General features: G+C 37.8%; 1 protein-coding gene and 1 long non-coding RNA gene across 16 annotated transcripts in view, besides 1 other annotated feature; one reads left to right on the forward strand and one right to left on the reverse strand.

The window, feature by feature from the left end:
- The window catches only part of LOC101929727 (uncharacterized), a 248010-nt gene that overhangs the window by 204751 nt on the left and 25555 nt on the right, over positions 1-17704 (forward strand). The gene's annotated exons all lie outside the window — the stretch shown is intronic.
- RNLS (renalase, FAD dependent amine oxidase) overlaps positions 1-17704 on the reverse strand; it is a 411796-nt gene that overhangs the window by 165340 nt on the left and 228752 nt on the right. Inside the window, exon 6 of one of the 15 annotated variants that reach the window (XM_005269949.6) lies at positions 4647-6946. The exons of the other annotated variants lie outside the window; for them this stretch is intronic. Within the exon in view, the coding sequence (XP_005270006.1) occupies positions 6921-6946 (26 nt within the window). The 3' untranslated portion in view covers positions 4647-6920. Of the gene's footprint in view, positions 1-4646; positions 6947-17704 lie in introns of those variants that run through there. 15 annotated transcript variants of the gene reach the window in all.
- Positions 10663-11326: an enhancer, noted in NCBI's record as "NANOG-H3K4me1 hESC enhancer chr10:90107282-90107945 (GRCh37/hg19 assembly coordinates)". NCBI's record gives its function as "activates a minimal SCP1, AML or CMV promoter by ChIP-STARR-seq in primed H9 embryonic stem cells {active_cell/tissue: H9 hESC(primed)}" and the evidence as "EXISTENCE:reporter gene assay evidence [ECO:0000049][PMID:30033119]".

The following is a 17704-nucleotide window of genomic DNA, read 5'->3' on the forward strand; positions in this document are numbered from 1 at the left end:
AGAGCGGAGTAGATGTAACATCAAGGTGTTGTGTTAAATCATCACACTAGATAAGACTTTATAATAGACTAAGCGATCAGTGGAAATGGCTGACTTAGGGGTCATTAAGCCTGACACATTAGGTCATTAGGCTGACATAGGGGTGAGGGATGACAGGCAAGGCTGGGCCTGAGAGATGGGGCAGAGAGTACTCCCTATTTTAGGGAGAAAAAAATACATTGCCCTCACAAATTGATTTTAATCTTTATTTTCCTACTGGATTGGCTTTGGGTCTCATGAAGGGGCTCAAAACAGTTCACAGATGGTAAAGGTCTTCTGTCTGGTAATCTACATAATAGATGCAAGAAATCCAGGACCCTGTTGAGGGATGGCATGATGTAGTGTAGCTAACTAACTACTGACCTCCAGGCTAGTTAGGAGGACCAGATGAGAGAACGTCTGTGTGGTGGATGTCAGCTGCTCAGCATCCACTACCTCTTTTGGGGGAACATTATCCAAATTTTGTTTTAGGGGAATCACCCCTCCTCTACTTTCAGCCTTGATGAAAGTAGCCTAGGTTACAACTAATCAGTTTATCCATCCCTCCTGGCCACAGTGACTGGCTGGATAATGGGTACATAACTAAAGCCAGGCCAATCAGGTCAATAAGACTCAATTCCAAAATTATTGTGCTTTGAGGAAAATGGTCTTGCTCTCTCTCTGTTTTTTAAAAATAATCATACTTGGCATTGAAATCCTTGGTACTACCTGGTGTCATCATGAATGAATCCAATGCAGCAGAAAGTAGAGTCAAGAAATTGAGCAGAAGCTAAGTTTGCATGATGTTGATCGAATCTATCTAGAGTTGCCTATAGCTTTACTCCTGGATTTTTCAGGAACAATAATAAGTCTCCCCACTCCTTTTCTTGCTTAAGCCATTTGAGATGAGTTTTATGTCACTTGCAACTTAAACTATTCTAGTGTGTGAAGCCTTTAGTACTGTGTCTGGCATATTTATGCTCGTTCTTACAAATATCAGTTTTATTTTCTTTTTCTTTTCCCTCTCCTTCTCCTCCTCCCATCTCCCCCAAATCTTACTTTATATCTCTAGTGTAAAACAGAAGATTAGATTTGACTATTTCCTTTAGAAAGCATGACCAAATAATTACTGGAAACACTTCTTCTGGGCCTCAATTTCTTCATATGTGAAGTAAAGGGGTTGCAGAAGTCCATCTTATTCTTTCAGCCTTAATTTTCCAGCAGTCTAAAAATCAGTTGGCAGTGATGATTTGAGAAGAAAAGTTCATCCTTCCCAACCACTCCTTGATTTTTCTAGTGTGGAAATTTGTGTCTTTAGAGAAGAGACTAAAACTAAGAAACTGCAGGGCCAAAATGATGGAAACGCTTCCCTTCAACTGAGCTTTCTCAATCCTTGAGCCACTGTGAATTTTAGGCCTTCACTTCCATCCTACTTTTGAGTTTAAATACAACGGACTATTTTGTAGTTTGGTAAGAAAAAGCACTGCATTATTTAAGAAAGCTTTGGTCTAGTTTAGCTCTGCTACTATCTAACGGTTCTTGACATAGCACATGTATGCAATTCACATACTGAAACGGACAAGTGATTCACAAGCGTCACAGATCCATGGAAAGTCATGTGTAACTAACAGCAGGTAAATTGATATATACAGAATCTGGATGACTTATAATACTTTTTAAAGATATCTTAAGATGAATCCAAGTTTATCCCTAAAATAACATTACTCTTGCTCACATGTAGTTTGATATACGTGCTCTTGAGCACGAGAGAACACTGAGCTTCTTGGGATTCCTAATAACTTGAGTTATCTTCATGAATCATGCCATGAGTTTGAATATCACTCATCATGTGAGTGACAGTAGGAAAGCTAGATTTCCTTTTTTTTTTTTTTTTTTTTTTGAGACGGAGTCTCGCTCTGTTGCCAGGCTGGAGTGCAGTGGCGCGATCTCGGCTCACTGCAAGCTCCGCCTCCCGGGCTCACGCCGTTCTCCCGCCTCAGCCTCCTGAGTAGCTGGGACTACAGGCGCCCGCCACCATGCCTGGCTAATTTTTTGTATTTTTAGTGGAGACGGGGTTTCACCGTGTTAGCCAGGATGGTCTGGATCTCCTGACCTCATGATCCTGCCCGCCTCGGCCTCCCAAAGTGCCGAGCCACCGTGTGAGCCACTGCGCCCAGCCAGAAAGCTAGATTTCTAAGGTTCTTCCATTTCCAGGATTTTGGATGGTAGACATGGTGGTGGCTGTGGAATGTGAGGATTTGTGGTAGAGACACGGACTGAGGATTTCATTAACCCAAATCTGGGAAATATGTGAGGGGAGCAAGTTAAGTTTGAACTACCACATTTGGTGTTATAATCTCTTCTTGAGCAAATAAATTTTAAAAGCTACAGCTATTTTCTTTATACAAATGACAGAATGCATAGATTAGGTAGGATATGAAAGAGAAGACTCTAGTTTCTAGGTATCAGTCAATTTCAATGTGTTGCAGAGTAGGTGGTGGGGAAAGAAGTAAGTGTTCCTGGGGTGTTTTTTATTAAGGTCTTCAGGGCAGAGATTTTTTTACTTTTATCAAAAAAGTACGATTTGGAGACAAACTAAGCTCAGGTTGAAGTCATGGTCTTCCTTAATTTCTCTAAACTTTAGTTTTCTCAACTATAAAATAGGGATAATAATATTTACCTCATAGGGTTGTTGTGATGATAAAATGCAATAAAACATGTAAAGCACACAACATGGTACCTGGCTCACAGTGACCAGGGACAAGCTGAATTAAGATTACAGGTGTGGTGTTTTAAAGATTGAGCAATGTTGTTCTAGTTTTTAATTTCATTTCTTTTTATTTTTCAAACTCCTGATACAAATTATTCTAAATTCCACTATAAATGCTTCTCTTTGGTTCATATATAGAAATAAGTTCTGCTAAAGGATGAGACACACTTAGCACACACACAAGTGAATATGTATGTATGTACTGACACAGCAAGAGGGAGGCAGAAGCTGATGTTGGGCTGTGAGGCAGACCTGTGAGGCAGATCCATGGTTTCCCTGACACCCAGATATACATTGTGTAAATGACAGCTCAAGACTCATATGCATTTCTATATCACATGGCGTTTTAGATAACATTCTCTCCCTACACCTCGTTCTTAGGACTTGAGACTTCTTTGATTATTCCAGTCACATCTAACTACTGAATTGGAAATTCTCAATATCTTGCAATAATTCAGACCTTTACAGAGGAAGCAATATCTTGAAGGTTTCCAGTGTGGAAAACCAAGGAGGTGAGATTTCCAGGTTCCCAAGCACAGGATAAAAATCCTTGTAGCTCTACAGAATCCCTGCTGCAGGGTGCCTTAGGAAGTTCTGAACCAGAGAAGTTTTCCACTTGGCCAAGAACTCATGTTAGAGTTCATTCCTCTCCATCATTTTTTAGGCTTCTGACTTTACTTGCAAGTGCAGGAAATAGATTTGGTTTTGTGAGACAGATCTCTCCTATGAAATACTTTCGTATGGAGGATAAACCTCAGGAGATTGATTTCAAATTAGAGGATCATTTCCTTTCTCTTTGATGGAGTATATATAGTCTCAAAGTTTACAAGTGTCTCTTTAAAAGAAGGTACATTTTTACATTCCTGTAAGTGTAACTCAAGGATTTCTAAAGACCCAACTAGGATTACCAGTCAGATAAAAAGACATTGTTTTATGATACTACCTCTTCAATCCAATAAACATTCCATTGCATAAACTTTAAAATATATATACTCCAGAAATTTGTAGAAATAAAAGAAAAAAGGAAAACACTAAACATGGTGATATTTTATTTATAAGGAATTCTAACTATTTATTATTATGCAGGAATATATTTTAATATTCCCTGTAGAATGTAAGTACAAGGAGAGGCTGGGTGCGGTGGCTCTCACCTGTAATCCCAGCACTTTGGGAGGCCGAGGCGGGCAGATCACGAGGTCAGGAGTTCGAGACCAGCCTGACCAACATGGTGAAACCCCATCTCTACTAAAAATACAAAATTAGCTGGGCATGGTGGCACGTGCCTGTAATCCCAGCTACTCGGGAGGCTGAGGCAGGAGAATCGCTTGAACCTGAGAGGCAGAGGTTGCAGTGAGCCAAGATCGTGCCACTGCACTCCAGCTGGGGTAACAGAGCAAGATTCTGTCTCAAAAAAAAAAAAACAAAAAACAGCAATTTGGGAGGCCTAGGCGGGCGGATCACCTGAGGTCGGGAGTTCGAGACCAGCCTGACCAACGTGGAGAAACTCTGCCTCTACTAAAAATACAAAATTAGCCGGGTGTGGTGGTGCATGCCTGTAATCCCAGCTACTTGGGAGGCTGAGGCAGGAGAATTGCTTGAACCTGGAAAGCAGAGGTTGCGGTGAGCCGAGATCATGCCATTGCACTCCAGCCTGGGCAATGAGAGCAAAACTCCATCTCAAAAAAAAAAAAAAAAAAAAAGAATGAGAACAAACAAGAATATTGGCTGTATCATTCACCAGAATACCTAGAACAATGCCTAGCCCATGGAGTGCAATAAATAGACACTGAATGTATAAACAATGAATTACTTATGTAGACATAAGTACTTTCAGAGGCAAAGAGAACATACATATATATTCCTTTTCTTGTGAAGATCATTTCACTACAGTCAATTTTTTTATTTTGATCTTTTACTTGTAAAAAGAAACGTGCCATATAATTATTTAAAAGTAACCAAAACATAGAGTACATAGAAAAATCATGGCTCATAACATGAAATTATTAAAAATGAGTATTTTGCTCTACCATACTTTAAAGGGTTTTGTGGAAAACAGCCTGAGGGAAGCATGAGAGGAAGACACCCAGGTTTACTACCAAGTGAGATGCTAGCTTAAATGTACTAAATTGTAAAATAAAACTTAAGAAAAGCTTTTTACAAATGGTAAAAGATATAACCTATTTCATACTAATCTGTGAGGTTTATAGTATTTTCATATAACCAATTTTCCTTAATATTAGGAAATATATTTAAAAGATTTTTTATATTCTCTCAAAAAGATAGTTTCTACTCACCACATATTCTAGGTGCTCCCTGAGTACTCCCAGTCTACTTGGCAGGAAAGTTGCAGCCATGTAACTATTAGGTTGGTGCAAAAGTAACTGTGGTTTTACCATTACTTTTAATACTTTTTTGGTCAATGGATTAGGAGGGAAAGTAAAGTGTATCAACCTTAGGCCAAAGCTGTTCAAAGCTCTTGTGCTTCCTCCATTTCTTTCCTATTTCCAGGCTGACTTTTGGGGCTTATCTTCCAAGTGGCAGAGCTACCAGATGAAGTAGAGCTGCTCAACCTGCATCTGACTTTGTGTAAGCCACAGTGTGTCAGCCACAAGCGCCTTTGTAGCAGTAAGATTTGGGACATGCCTATTCATCACCCTGGTTAATACATATTCCCTATTTCAAGTATAGAACTTTTAAAATGACCTACCTTAGGAATAAATGAACTCAAGAAAAGCATCTCATATTTCAGATCTCAGATTCCCAAATTGTTATCTTTTGTTTTCTGCTCCCTTGTTTTGATCAGATCTCATTAATTCACTATTTACTTAACAAACATTTCATTGAGAATTTACTGTGTATTAAGCTATGTGCCAGGTGCTAGAGATACAATGATATCCAATTTCTTAATTCATGGACCTTACAACTTGAAGGTAAAACAGGCATTAAACACATAATCACATAAATCAATGTATAGTTACAGAAAATTAAAATATAAGTATAAAATAAATCATAAAAATAAAATAGAGAAACCATTTTAATTAAATTAGGACTTCAGGAATGCCCTCTGTGGAAAGGACATTTAAACTGAGACAGTCTAGGTAGAGAACAGAATAGACAAAGGTCTCGAGGTGGAAAAAAGTATGGGAGGAAAGAGAGGTGTGACTGGAGAGCTAAGGAGTGAGGAGATAGTGAGATCAGGGGTTGGCAAACTATGGGCTTCAGGCCAAATCTGGCCTGCCACTTGTGTTTGTAAATAAAGTTTTATTAGAACACAGCCACGCCCATTCTTTTATATGTCTATTGCTTGGGTTACATCAGTAGATTTGAGTAGCTGCAACAGACTGTATGGCTTGCAAAGTCTAAAGTATCTGGCCTTTATAAAACATCTGCTGACCCCTGTACTAGATCATTCAGGACCTTGCCAGCCATGTTAAGGATGTGAGATTTAATCTCATGTGCAAAGGGAAGGCATTAAAGGGCTTTGAACAGGAAAGTGAGTGGCATGAACAGATGTGTGCTCTAAGAAAACCATTCTGGTTATTTGAAGAATGAACTGGAAAGGGGCAAGGATGGAAAAGCCAGTTAAAATAAGACAGTGTCTTGACAGTGACAGTGACGATGAAGAGAAGTGAATTCAAAGTCTATTTTTGAAAAAAATATCAATACGATTTGGTTTCAGATTGCATATTGTGGTGCAGGAGTGGAAAATATCAAGGATGATTTCGGATTTTTGCCCAAAAAAGCTAGGAGATTGGTGGCTCCATTTTCAAAAATGGGAAAGATGGGGGAGGAAAAAGTTCAGAATAATGAAAGTAGGCAATCAAGAGCCAGTGATGAACGTAAGTTTGATCTTAACATATATATATATTTTCCAAAAACAACAAAAAAGGAGTAAAACAACTCTCAAAAATATATTCTGAATTCTACTTTCTGTCCAGGGCTGGGATAATTTTCCTCTATTTTCCTTGTATTCGTTCCTTTAAAAATTCCATAGATTCTGTCCATTCAAAGAAAAGGCCACATTTAGTGAGACTGCATATATTTCAGGATCTGTTTGGGAGAAGATTTTCTTTGGCCGACACCTCCCAAGCTTCATGAAAACATCTATTTATCCTGGGACACAAGGAGATTTTCAGTCTGTTGCAGCTTTTATTTGCACTGCCAAAAGGAAAAACGAAAGGGTTTCAATAGTCCTTTAATTGAAACGTCCCTGGAGCAGAGGATTTGTCCTAACTCACATTTGGTTTTCCAGGCTCTCACTGGAGTTCTCCTTCCACAATGCCTAAAAAAGCCCTGGTTTTCTATGATGACAGTCCACTAAAATGCTCCACTTTCCCAATACTCACCAGCAGTATGCAGCCACCCCTTATTATACATTGTTATTTTGGCCTACTCAGCATTATGCCCTCTATGAAATTTTGTGTTAAGTGGTATTATGATTGGACTATTTTCCTGAATTGGGCAAGGTTTTCCCCTTGAGCCAGCATACTGGTTTGCCTCTAAGGATATCACTTTATCACTGCAGTTGCATAATTGGGTTCAGCTTTAGATTTGTAGCTGCTCAAATGAGCAAAATACATCTCAGGGCTGGGGGATTTGACCTAAAGCTTTGCTGTCATCCATTTGGTTTAGTAAAGAGAAGTTTTTGCCTTGACATTATAAAATGCTGAATTTGAAAAATTGAGACTAAGCAGATGGTGAAATTTTTATTTATGATAGTGTCAAAATATTCCTGGCTCCTTTTGTGGAGGAAATCTACTGGTTTACTGTGGACATTCTTATCTTCTTTCCTAATAAGACAAATGGAGTTACTCTTCCTGTTATATTTTGACAGGAAAAACAACGATTGGATCTGGGTATTTTGGCAAAAGCTCTTAAATCAGAGGGACTATAATCTTTATGATATTGTTAGCCACTCCCGAGAAACTACTATTATGAATACAGTAAACAAATAGGCATTTTATTTTTAATAAAAAAGAGTGAATTAGGTTCAACTGACCTCAAGGTTCTAAAGTGCCTTTCCTGACTCTGTTAAATAATGTAAGGATATATAACAACAGCAAGAATTCACTTGCTATATTTATAATAGAAATCTATTTTAGTGAGGAAAACTATATTTTAAATTCAAGGATGCTTCATTTTTTACAAACATGAATTTGGAATATTTTATACTAAAGAATTCCCCTAGTCCCACAGATCAGTTATAAATATTAATGGAATTTCAAGAGATTCTTTTCTGATTCCAGTGCTTAATATTCATTCATATTATGCAGGGAATTCAATGTCCTGTACAGTACATATGGATTCTTCTCATTATATAAATGAGCACATATATGGAATCTGTAGGGGCAATGACAATTAAAAATAGCAGGGCCCACATACGATTTTAGAGGGCATATAAAAGCCTTCTCAGCTCACTTAATAACAAGAAATTTACTGGTAATAAACCAAAGGACTCTTTAGGCTCAATTTACTCAATAATGTCACATCTGGGCAAAAAGATGGATTGGTGATTCTGAACAGAGTTAAAAATGCTAACTGATATAAAGTATTTATGAAACGCAATGAAGTGATTTCCTGTGGTGAGATTCTGCAGTCAGACTTCGAAACCTGCTCTTGAATTAGTCTCAGCTCTTTGATTTGCTAACGATTTACTTCACAGTGCTTAGTCTTCTCAGACTATTTGTAGTGTAAATTTTTTTTGGAAAAATTCTTATTCAAAAAATGATTTGACATCCCATAAAAAGAACTGCATCTAACTTCATGTTCTCTGAGTTTAATAACTTATTCAGGTAATAAGATATTGTTTAGCCTTCCTAATGTGTAAGTATAAGTATTATTTTTAACAAAGGGTGATTTTTAACTAAACCTGCACTATTAGTGTGTCATTCTCTCTTCTGTCTCTCAAAATAAAAATTTATATAACTAATGGACCAAAACCATAAAATAATTTGTATGTGACAACAATTATAAAGTTGGCATTTACTATGCACCTATGTGCCAGGCATGATATTAGAAGTTTTGGATATACTATCTCATTCAATCTTTATAACATTTCTGGGAGCCATTATAGTTACAGTTCAGGTAAGTAAGTGAAGCTCAGAGAGATTAAGAAGATTAATCATGATCACAGAGCTATTAGGTTGAATCACATGAAAATGCTGATATTGGACCATTTTTAATCTATAAAGACAGCAATATCATATGCTTCAACCTAATTCTAAGTGCTGAGTTACAGTATGAAAATAGGTCTGTGTGATTCAGAAGTCCATTGCAGTATATTAGATAATACTGGTTATTTTTTACCACTCATAATAATAAAAACCAAATCATGAATTATACAATAAAGAATTAATCACTCACCAAGTTGGGTTAATATGAACTCATCATTTATGGCAAGATTCCAATGCAAGATAGCATTTCATTTTAATATCATTCTGATATAAAAAGAGAGATAATTGCTAAACTGTGGCAGAGAAATGGCACATTTACAGAGCTTATCATATATTTTCTAAGTTAAATATCTCAGCTGGAGCACAGTTGTTCTTTAACAAACTATTAAAAAGAAATATCCTTCACAAAGAGAACAGTGGGATTCTTTGAAGTGTAACCTTGGAAATCACGGTTTGTGTTACGGGGCATCATTCAAAGCAGATGTATACTCCTCAGAGACCACAGTAAAACTGTTGCTAAGAATACTTGTTTCTCCTTTTCAGGTTTTACTGACAATACTATATAGTCAAGTATTCCCAGTGTTCTAGGCATGGTACAGAACATCCAAAAAGAGGCTTCTAATCATTCTAATTGCGAAGAACTCACATATGCTTTTCAGTGGCTTTCAGATTCAGCAATTAAACGAAGAGCTTATTCATTTTATGTGATTTAAAGGGTAGTGGTAACAGACATCTAGACTGTTTTAGAGATAAACAATTTGCTGACTAGCCATTACTTTTCCTTGCTTGCTAAGTGGGTGACCAGTGCTGAAGTATTAATTCTCAATGTTATTTCAGGAGCAGGGAAGGGCATTTCAGAGTTGCAAAAAGGACTACTGGCTCAGCAAATATTTATCAAGCACTGAATACACATTCCTATTATGCCGTGATGTTAGTGTCTCTTATTTTCAATCTTGATCAAGATAAGAAGTATCAACAGATGTGTCACATGTGTGATGGATTGTGGCATGTATTCCCACTAATGGAGAAAGCTTCTAATTTTGGAGAAAGCAGCAGGCTCTGCAGTCAGAGCGTATTACTTCTTTAGCCCATGAGACATTTAGACTGATCTGAAGAGGAATTCTTGACAGTGAGGAAAGTGGTGAAATCTTTTCTGAGGGAGCTCTAGGCAAAGGAATGATCCCATCTCTTTGGGATAATGTTGTCATGGTCCCAGATAAAAATGGACCACAATGAAGACTTGTCAAATTCTTATCCAGCTCAAGTCTTTACTGTTTCCCAGGACCTGAGGCTCACAAGCAGTCTGTGATTTACGCAGTTTTATGATACTGTTCTCAACTTGCAAAGGTTTTGAGATGCCTCCAGAATGATGAAAACCAGGCACTTATCTGGGAAGCAGAGCAGCTCACATTATTTTGAGCCCTGGGCTTACGACCCAGAGTGTTGACAGCTTCACTTCAGACCACAGTAAGGACTTAACTTCAAGATCCTTCAAAACAGCTCAGTCCCACAGACAGCCTTTTTCCAGGTTCCCTCTCTGAACAGATTGACATGGTGCAGGTATTATGGAAACAGCAAGCTGAGCTTTCTATATTTGAGATTCAGAGTATGAAGAGCTCTGTTTTAATTCAAAATAAGGTTATCAAATAGATGTCGATATTGCCATTTAGGCAGCAGACTAAATTTCTGCAAAGGAACCAACCTAAAGAAACCATAACGTTCCTATCTAAGTTCATCCTAGATATTCCAAAAAGTGTCTGGGCTATCTTAATTTAAACACCAACCCCCCCCAATAAAAAAGCAATGATGGATATAAAGCAACTGCTCACACCAGAACCATACTGAGGTTGTAGAGAGTTGTGGGAGGGCCACAAAGTAAACTAAACAGCAAACAAGTTTAAAATCTACATATTAATCCCTCTGGTCAAGCTGGAACTTCCACCACCTGGTTTTCTTTTCGCCCTTTCTTTGTTCCTTCCCCTCCCCCATTGCCTCAGGATATCTGAAATTTTCTCCTCAATTAGGCAGAGTAATTTAGCTCTCTCTCCTCCCATTTTCAAACTAGCATCTTATCTTTATAAATGCTCCCCAGAAGAAAGAATAATCCTATTAAAAGGACTGTAATTATAATAGCAAAAGTAAGTTGCTATTATATTTAATACAGCAGTTTTTTCACTACAGAATAGTTTGTTACACACTTATTACTTGACCTTTGTTAGTGGGGAGGTCTGAAAGACTGCGCCAGTTCCCACCTGTGACCCTTGCTGGTTTTCCCTCTGTCTTTACATTGGCCATCCCTATCTCTTTACAGAGCCAACACACAGTGGGGTTTCCTCTTGCTGTTTCCTTTCTCAGTTGGCAGCAGAGACGGTGGCCTCTGTCCATGTTTTCTGATGCTCTCATCTCATCTATGACCTATAAATTTCAGATCCACACATTTATTCATCATGAACAGTCATCTGATTCTCATTCCTGCTTTCCCCCGGACAAATGATGGATAGAAACTATACTCAGTCCCCACCACATCTGGCTGGCTCTTAGATTCTGAACCAATTCTTGGCCAACCTGAAGGTCTTTTATAAATCTCAGCCTGACAGCCACACATTTAGGCCTATCCACAAGGGAAAATATCATTTTCAGAGAGCAAGGCAGGCAGAACATGAGGTGTAATGTTGACACAAATGGGACTTAGGGTATTTAATGTTTAAGACTCACGTTTTAGTATGGATGCTGTATAGATCTGTAATTTGGACTTGTTTATAGCTATAGAAATGCCAGGCAGCTGTAGACTTAACCTTTTGCTATTTCTTGGACATTTCATGACTTATATGCATCTATTGAACTTTTTTGGCATCCCCAGGAGAAAGTTAAATCATATTCCCTATTAAAGTTTCTGATTTATTCATGGATTTAAATGTTCCATAGCCCTCATTTTTCATTTCCTCACCTTAAAGAAAAGAGATTATTGGGTTAATGTTGACAGAAGACCATAACTTTTCCTTTGAAAGCTCATAATATTGTCACAAGGCAACATGGCCCTTCCTGGTTTTGATCATGAGTGTGAGTTAGCATTCTATATATTGTATAGATCCGAGCATCTTTTTATATTCATGAGAACTCTTACTTGACTGCAAATTACGAGTGCAACAGAGCATCACCTTACTTCCTTCAGAATTTCTCATTTGAGCAGACTTCATGAAACTGTGTTTCATGACGGTAGGGACTATGGAGTCCTCAGTTCTTAGCACAATGCCTGGCACACAGAAGGAATTCAATACATATTTGTATATATTTGTTCAATTGAATGAGGATGAAAGACACAAATATTTGGGAGTTCAATTGTGCTGAAAGACACTTCCACAGCAGTATATTCCATAAGATGTATTTAAAGTTTATTTTTGATTTCTATAGTTAGCTGATTTTCTACTTTCATTCCATCTCTGGCATTGATTTTCATACTGAGTTAAGTTGCTTTGCAAGTGAGAGGGCAAATGTTGTCTTAGATGTAAATCTTTCCCCTTGAGGATAACTTGACAGGGAAACTAGAGGCTGAAAGGGGTCTGTTGTTTGTTTTTACTTTGTGTGCAAATGTTCTCCTTACAAAATGGGCTGGGTTATTTCATTCTCTAATAAAAGTCCCCTCCCCTTTATTTTAAATAACAGAGATGGAGTTGGGATCTACATATTCCAGGCTGGTGTGAACTCCTGGCCTCAGGCAATCCTCCTGCCTTGGCCTCCCAAAGTGGTGAGATTATAGGCATGAGCAAGTGAACCTGGTCCCCATATTTGGTTTTAAAAGTGAGAAATATATGAAATCACAATATTCTATTTTATAATTTGTGCCTATTAATTTAAATAACAAAAAATATTTATTTTTACGTATGTATATATGTGTATATACACATATTGTATATAAGTACATATATACATTGTGTATATATATATATTTTTCTTCCTGAGAGACCACCCCAAGATCTGATATTACTATCACATGATATTCTATGACAACACTAAAATAATGAGATGAATATTTGCAATTAGTATTTGACAGCTGTTAATTAAATTGCTTTAACAGATTTATAGGGAAAACATCAGTTACATAACTGAATTACAAATAACTATGTCTATTATATAAATGACAAAATGTCATGATTACTAGTCACTGCTTATTATTTTAAGATGAGGATTACTAATTTATCTGAGAGGTCTGATATTTTAAAACAAAAGCCCAAACGGGAAACCTGACAGTTTTTCATGATTATGGTTCTTCTTTTCTTTTCCTTCTCTCCTTTTCCCTTCTTCTCAGTCTTCCTTTTTTGTTCTACTTAAAAAGTTTTGCCTGTCTGGATTGCATTTTCTGCAAGTTCAAATGGTTCCATGTTCATTCAATTCTTTTTTTTTTTTAATATGTATACATTTTTATTATACTTTAAGTTCTAGGGTACATGTGCACAACGTGCAGGTTTGTTACATATGTATACATGTGCCATGTTGATGTGCTGCATCCATTAACTCATAATTTACATTCGGTATATCTCCTAATGCTATCCCTCCCCCCTCCTCCCACCCCATGACATGCCCTGGTGTGCGATGTTCTCCTTCCTGTGTCCAAGTGTTCTCATTGTTCAATTCCCACCTATGAGTGAGAACATGCGGTGTTTGGTTTTTTGTCCTTGCGATAGTTTGCTGAGAATGACGGTTTCCAGCTTCATCCATGTCCCTACAAAGGACATGAACTCATCCTTTTTTATGGCTGCATAGTATTCCATGGTGTATATGTGCCACATTTTCTTAATCCAGTCTATCATTGTTGGACATTCGGGTTGGTTCCAAGTCTTTGCTATTGTGAGTAGTGCTGCAATAAATGTATGTGTGCATGTGTCTTTATAGCAGCATGATTTATATTCCTTTGGGTATACACCCAGTAATGGGTTGGCTGGGTCAAATGGTATTTCTAGTTCTAGATCCCTGAGGAATCGCCGCACTGTATTCCACAAGGGTTGAACTAGTTTACAGTCCCACCAACAGTGTAAAAGTGTTCCTATTTCTCCACATCCTCTCCAGCACCTGTTGTTTCCTGACATTTTAATGATCACTATTCTAACTGGTGTGAGATGATATCTCATTGTGGTTTTGTTTTGCATTTCTCTGATGGCCAGTGATAAGGAGCATTTTTTCATGTGTCTGCTGGCTGCACAAATGTCTTCTTTTGAGAAGTGTCTGTTCATATCCTTCGCCCACTTGTTGGTGGGGTTGTTTTTTTTCTTGTAAATTTGTTTGAGTTCTTTCTAGATTCAGGATATTAGTCCTTTGTCAGATGAGTAGATTGCAAAAATTTTTTCCCATTCTGTAGGTTGCCCATTCACTCTGATGGTAGTTTCTTTTGCTGTGCAGAAGCTCTTTAGTTTAATTAGATCCCATTTGTCAATTTTGGCTTTTGTTGCCATTGCTTTTGGTGCTTTAGACATGAAGTCCTTGCCCATCCCTATGTCCTAAATGGTAATGCCTATGTTTTCTTCTATGGTTTTTATGGTTTTAGGTCTAACATTTAAGTCTTTAATCCATCTTGAATTAATTTTTGTGTACGGTGTAAGGAAGGGATCCAGTTTCAGCTTCCTACATATGGCTAGCCAGTTTTCCCAGCACCATTTGTTAAATAGGGAATCCTTTCCCCATTTCTTGTCTTTGTCAGGTTTGTCAAAAATCAGATAGTTGTAGATGTGTGGTATTATTTCTGAGGGCTCTGTTCTGTTCCATTGGTCTATATCGCTGTTTTGGTACCAGTACCATGCTGTTTTGGTTACTGTAGCCTTGTAGTATAGTTTGAAGTCAGGTAGCGTGATGCCTCCAGCTTTGTTAGCAGGCTCTTTTTTGGTTCCATATGAACTTTAAAGTAGTTTTTTCCAATTCTGTGAAGAAAGTCATTGGTAGCTTGATGGGGATGGCATTGAATCTATAAATTACCTTGGGCAGTATGGCCATTTTCATGATATTGATTCTTCCTATCCATAAGCATGGAATGTTCTTCCATTTGTTTGTGTCCTCTTTTATTTTGTTGAGTAGTGGTTTGTAGTTCTCCTTGAAGAGGTCCTTCACATCCCTTGTAAGTTGGCTTCCTAGTATTTTATTGTCTTTGAAGCAATTGTGAATGGGATTTCACTCATGATTTGGCTCTCTGTCTGTTATTGGTGTATAAGAATGCTTGTGATTTTTGTACATTGATTTTGTATCCTGAGACTTTGCTGAAGTTGCTTATCAGCTTAAGGAGATTTTGTGGTGAGATGATGGGGTTTTCTAGATATACAGTCATGTCATCTGCAAACAGGGACAATTTGACTTCCTCTTTTCCTAATTGAATACCCTTTATTTCTTTCTCCTGCCTGATTGCCCTGGCCAGAACTTCCAACACTATGTTGAATAGGAGTGGTGAGAGAGGGCATCCCTGTCTTGTGCCAGTTTTCAAAGGGAATGCTTCCAGTTTTTGCCCATTCAGGATGATATTGGTTGTGGGTTTGTCATAAATAGCTCTTATTATTTTGAGATACATCCCATCAATACATAATTTATTGAGAGTTTTTAGCATGAAGGGTTGTTGAATTTTGTCAAAGGCCTTTTCTGCATCTATTGAGATAATCCTGTGGCTTTTGTCTTTGGTTCTGTTTACATGCTGGATTACGTTTATTGATTTGCATATGTTGAACCAGCCTTGCATCCCAGTGATGAAGCTCACTTGATCATGGTAGATAAGCTTTTTGATGTGCTGCTGGATTTGGTTTGCCAGTATCTTATTGAGGATTTTTGCATCGATGTTCATCAGGGATATTGGCCTAAGGTTCTCTTTTTTTGTTGTGTCTCTGCCAGGCTTTGGTATCAGCATGATGCTGGCCTCATAAAATGAGTTAGGGAGGATTCCCTCTTTTTCTACCGATTGGAATAGTTTCAGAAGGAATGGTACCAGCTCCTCCTTGTACCTCTGGTGGAATTCGGTGGTGAATCTGTCTGGTCCTCGACTTTTTTTGGTTGGTAAGCTATTAATTATTGCCTCAATTTCAGAGCCTGTTATTGGTCTATTAAGAGATTCAACTTCTTCCTGGTTTAGTCTTAGGAAGGTGTATGTGTCCAGGAATTTATCCATTTCTTCTAGATTTTATAGTTTATTTGCGTAGAGGTGTTTATAGTATTCTGTGATGGTACTTGGTATTTCTGTGGGATCAGTGGGGATATCCCCTTTATCATTTTTTATTGCACCTATTTGATTCTTCTCTGTTTTCTTCTTTTTTAGTCTTGGTAGCGGTCTATCAATTTTGCTGATCTTTTCAAAAAACCAGCTCCTGGATTCATTGATTTTTTGAAGGGTTTTAATAACTCTATCTCCTTAGTTATTTAGCTTAGCTAGCTCTGATCTTAGTTATTTCCTGCCTTCTGCTAGCTTTTGAATGTGTTTGCTCTTGCTTCTCTAGTTCTTTTAATTGTGATGTTAGGGTGTCAATTTTAGATCTTTCCTGCTTTCTCTTGTGGGCATTTAGTGCTATAAATTTCCCTCTACACACTGCTGTAAATGTGTCCCAGAGATTCTGGTATGTTGTGTCTTTGTTCTCGTTGGTTTCAAAGAACATCTTTATTTCTGCCTTCATTTCATTATGTAGCCAGTAGTCATTCAGGAGCAGCTTGTTCAGTTTCCATGTAGTTGAGCAGTTTTGAGTGAGTTTCTTAATCCTGAGTTCTTGTTTGATTGCACTGTCGTCTCAGAGACAGTTTGTTATAATTTCTGTTCTTTTACATTTGCTGAGGAGTGCTTTACTTCCAACTATGTGGTCAATTTTGGAATAGGTGCAGTGTGGTGCTGAGAAGAATGTATATTCTGTTGATTTGAGGTGGAGAGTTCTGTAGATGTCTATTAGGTCTGCTGGGTGCAGATCTGAATTCAATTCCTGGATATCCTTGTTAAGTTTCTGTCTCGTTGATCTATCTGATGTTGACAATGAGGTGTTAAATCTCCCATTATTATTGTATGGGAGTCTAAGTCTCTTTGTAGGTCTCTAAGGACTTGCTTTATGAATCTGGGTGCTCCTGTATTGGGTGCATATATATTTAGGATAGTTAGCTCTTCTTGTTGAATTGATCCCTTTACCATTATGTAATGGTCTTCTTTGTCTCTTTTGATCTTTGTTGGTTTAAAGTCTGTTTTATCAGAGACTAGGATTGCAACCCCTGCCTTTGTTTTCCATTTGCTTGGTATGCTTGGTAGATCTTCCTCCATCCCTTTATTTTGAGCCTATGTGTGTCTCTGCAAGTGAGATGGGTTTCCTGAATACAGCACACTGATGGGTCTTGACTCTTTATCCAATTTGCCAGTCTCTGTCTTTTGATTGGAGCATTTAGCCTGTTTACATGTAAAGTTAATATTGTTATGTATGAATTTGATCCTGTCATTATGATGTTAGCTGGTTATTTTGCTCGTTAGTTGATGCGGTTTCTTCCTAGCATCAATGGTCTTTACAATTTGGCATGTTTTTGCAGTGGCTGGTACCAGTTGTTCCTTTCCATGTTTAGTGCTTCCTTCAGGAGCTCTTGTAGGGCAGGCCTGGTGGTGACAAAAATCTCTCAGCATTTGCTTGTCTGTAAAGGATTTTAATTCTCTTTCACTTATGAAGCTTAGTTTGGCTGGATATGAAATTCTGGGTTGAAAATTCTTTCCTTTAAGAATGTTGAATATTGGCCCCCCCTCTCTTCTGGCTTGTAA

This window comes from Homo sapiens, chromosome 10 (assembly GCF_000001405.40).
Source record: "Homo sapiens chromosome 10, GRCh38.p14 Primary Assembly".
NCBI classification, from domain to species: Eukaryota; Metazoa; Chordata; class Mammalia; order Primates; family Hominidae; genus Homo; species Homo sapiens.